A 4051-nucleotide genomic window follows, 5' to 3' on the forward strand; every position below is an offset into this window, starting at 1 on the left:
GAGAATGTTAGGCAAAGTCTAGGTTGGAAACGGGAAGTTGAACAGGAAAAAATACCTTTGTCCTGTCCCTCCATAGGGATTATCTGTGCAATTTATAGTAATGAAAGGACAATGGACAAAATATAGAAAAAAAAATCAAATTTAACACATAATGTAGACTGCATACATCAAAAGGAGTCTAAATTTAAAATTGCCACATTCTGTTTGGCTAGCTCTATCTGGCTGCATATTTGCACGTCTGGTAATAGCCTCAATTATATATTCAATAAAAAGCATTTCATCAATGTGATCAATGCATTCATTCCTATGGCAAAATGTGTCTTTATCTCATTTTTATATTGTACAAGATAAGGAAGCTAAACTGTTTCAAGGTTTTAGCCATTATTAGACAAGGAACTGGTTCTGAAGAAAGTTCATTTAAAAAAAATAGCTAGTGCTGGGAAAAGAATATTAAATTCTTTTTATTTGAAATACTCCAAGCTATTTTCAAAGCATATTTATTAAGAGTTGCATTGAGAGCCCAATAACTTTTTATTTGGTTGTTACTCAGGGCCACAGGCTCCGGGAAGATTTTATAGATGGGCTCCATGAAGTCTGTGGGAACTTTGATCTGCAATTTCAAAAAATATATATCTGCAGGTATATGAATTTTTCTGGAGCAGGCCTATAGCCTTTAAATTATACTCAAAGGAGTCCAAAACATAAAGCTTTTTAGAAATGACAATTTTTAAATGAAATATTTAAAGCAGCAAATATATTTCTGTTATATCGATAACCATTTATATGCTTAAGGCTGTTGTATATCTCCAAAATGATTAAAATAAGTAATTGCCAAAAGGCACAATATTACATGTATGTATTTAGCACATATATTTTAAAAATCCTCTTAAATGTATCAATTAATATTGATGATTTATAAATGACTTAATATTAAAACTCTTACAATTCTATATAAGACATGAACTAATAATGCAAAGAAAGTAACACATGGTTATCAACAAAACAGCATAGATTTTCCAGTATTTATTGTTTTTGATATTTTAAAAATAAAACATAATTTTATTAAATATATATTTACACTAAAAATAGCAAATAGAATATAGTTGTTCAATGATTTTTATGAACTATAGGGATAATACATTTATTTTAAATATCATGTACAGATTTTTTTAAACAAAAGCACAAATATTAGGTGTTATTTTTTCCATTATAGGGAACATACTTTGTTCTATCTTGCAAATATGTCAAGGGGAAAAATAAATGAAATAAAATGTTAAAATTTACCTTAGTATGCATCTTAACCTATAACAAGGATTTTCTACAATTTTATTTGTAAATAAAAGTGTAAATTATTATTACTAATACATATTTTAAGAAGAAATAAATCCTAAGGAGTCTCCTTTCATTTATTCAAAAAGTATTTATTGAGCGCCTACTGTGTACCAGAAATTCTGCCAGTTTTCTTTTGAATTCACAGCAATTTATGAAATCCCATTTGGCATACACAACTTCTAATTTTATCGTTTCTTCCACCACAACAAACAAACAGTCACCTTAAAAATCTATTAGGATGGTTGCTAAGTGTGGCATGTGAAACATACCAAATCATGAATATGCTAATCATCCACTTAACAAAACACACATACCATAACCTAGGTAATCTATAAAAACTCATTAAATAAATGAAGTGTGGAATTACCCTTTTTGGGGGACAGTCATAGTATTTTAATGTGATACAAAAAAGCTAAAATAATGATTCATTTAAACTAACTTGATAATTCTGAATTTATTTATGTGTTCATATGAATAAATAGTTACTCTCATATTTTCAAAAACTAAATGTTGGTAGTTGTGCTTTAAGAAATATTTAAATAGCAAAAGTGGCTATAGGAGAAATAATGACCTCTGCTTATGATACTTAGGTTATTACCTAAAACTTAAAGTATAATTTTTTAAAAAAAGAATACTTATTAATGTTAATTTCAAAAGCTATTTCTATTCAAAAATTTAAAACAGAAATGTGATACATTATTCAAATAACATCACAAGTAATTATCACATTAACATGTCTTAAAATCTGATTGTATAAAAGATAACTAAACTGATCATATTTAATAAACATAAATTGTAGGTTTTTTCAGTACAGAAGAATTGATGCTTGGATCATTTTCAATCTATCTGAACTTATGTATAAATATATTCTATATCTAAGTGAATATGTATTATAATTTATTTATATCTGGGTGTATAAATGTGTGAACATATACCATATACAACTACATCTCTAAGATTAAGCACTATATTTCTGGTGATTAGATAATTAAATTGAAGATAAACTAAATTAGTTTTTTTTTATAAAAATATGCTGTTTAAAGGTTAGTCATAATTTTTTTCCTTCCCCTGCACTCTATTCTTCTCACTTAAAAATCACTTGCTTCTAAAATGACCAATAATACATATTTAATTAGTATGTATCAGAATATTAATATCCAATTTAATAGCAAAATACATCTTTGAAGTGAAATTAAGTGACGAACATTATTTGGATAATGTATCAATGTGTTTTGACAAAATATGTACTACTTGTAAATAAACATGTGGGCAAAATCTTTGTAAGGAATTACAGCTCATGAAAAAATATTAAAGGATAAAGGAATGGATAGAACTGCTGGAAACCATTAAAATAGGAAACAATTTCAGGGAACTAATCAAAGGAGAAAATATTATTTGAAATCACTTCTTTTGTTATAGGAAACATTTGTTATCTTGGACTTTTAAACATTTAACTAAGATACCAACAAGCCGCTTGCTCAGTTCTTGTTTATCTTCACATTTCACTACTTCATTATGCAAAATATTTCTATTTATGGGTGGAACGTGAAAACATGCTCTGTTTTGTGTGCAGCATGAGAACCTCAAAGCAAGCTGATGGTATTTTCATTCAGCTAGATTTTCCAAATGGACCTGAGTAAATTCCTTTCTTTATGAAAAACCACTGGCAAAAACAAAACCAAACTAGCAAATAGGGCAGAATGGGCTAAATGCCTCTGGTTAAAATAAATATAACTTTAAGACTAAAAGCAATTTTGGAACATGCATTCTACATTTATGATTAGCCATTTTTCATCTCTGCTCTTTCAATGAATATCCTTAAAAAATGGGACACTTTTTAAATGAAACATGCTGGGACTTTTAAATGGCATCAATAATTTTTTACTTGTTTGTTTTTAATTAGTATCTAAATAAAATAATCCACAAACTGGGAGAGTTATTTTCTATGTGAATTTAATTGAATTTCCCACTTCTGTTGTAGGGAATCAAAATATAAAACACATAGCTAAAGCAAATGCATCCCTACACAGCAGTGTAGAGGTACATGTGTTTCTCTATGGTAATAGCCAGGTGGTTGTGTCCCAGCAGGTTTAATAAGGTGGTATTAAATACTGTGGTGACTCATGATGGTATAGGGTTTGTGCTCAACCCAGGAATCTAAATTTTCTTAGCAAAATAAGTGAATCAATCCTCTAGTGAGCAAACCTAAACCAAGTCTCTATATTTATATTGACTATATTTAAGAGTCTAGCTTTACCATTTTTCAATAGCATGCCAAAAGTAATGTACTGCAAACTTTTACTATTAAATGTCTTAAATACATTTGTAAATTGAGCACAAAAGGGTTTAACAGACCTGCATATATTTTCTCCACGTCACCTCCTTGTAACTGCTTCTCTGCAGTCTAGAATACTCAGTTAAAGTGCAAATTGCTTGACATTTCGATGCTGAAGAGTGGACATAATGAGTACCTGGGGTTGGGAGAGTGAGGGGGGAAGCCCAGCCTGTGTCCTTTAGCCTAAGGTTCCACATGTGTGAGCAATTCATCACTTAGGAGAACGACCTCCTATTTATACAAGGGCTATAGCTGTTAACCAAACCACATGTTTTCACTCATCATTTTTTCAATAAGATTAAGGTCAGGAAATCCTTATTAGAAGACCAGAGCAAAATTTCAAAAAGTTTTCACGAACAAATTCAACACAAAGTCTCAACACTG

At 29.5% G+C, this 4051-nt stretch overlaps 1 protein-coding gene across 7 annotated transcripts in view; it reads right to left on the reverse strand.

The window, feature by feature from the left end:
- PCDH9 (protocadherin 9) overlaps positions 1-4051 on the reverse strand; it is a 927503-nt gene that overhangs the window by 894130 nt on the left and 29322 nt on the right. The gene's annotated exons all lie outside the window — the stretch shown is intronic.

This window comes from Homo sapiens, chromosome 13 (assembly GCF_000001405.40).
Source record: "Homo sapiens chromosome 13, GRCh38.p14 Primary Assembly".
In the NCBI taxonomy this organism is placed as follows: domain Eukaryota; kingdom Metazoa; phylum Chordata; class Mammalia; order Primates; family Hominidae; genus Homo; species Homo sapiens.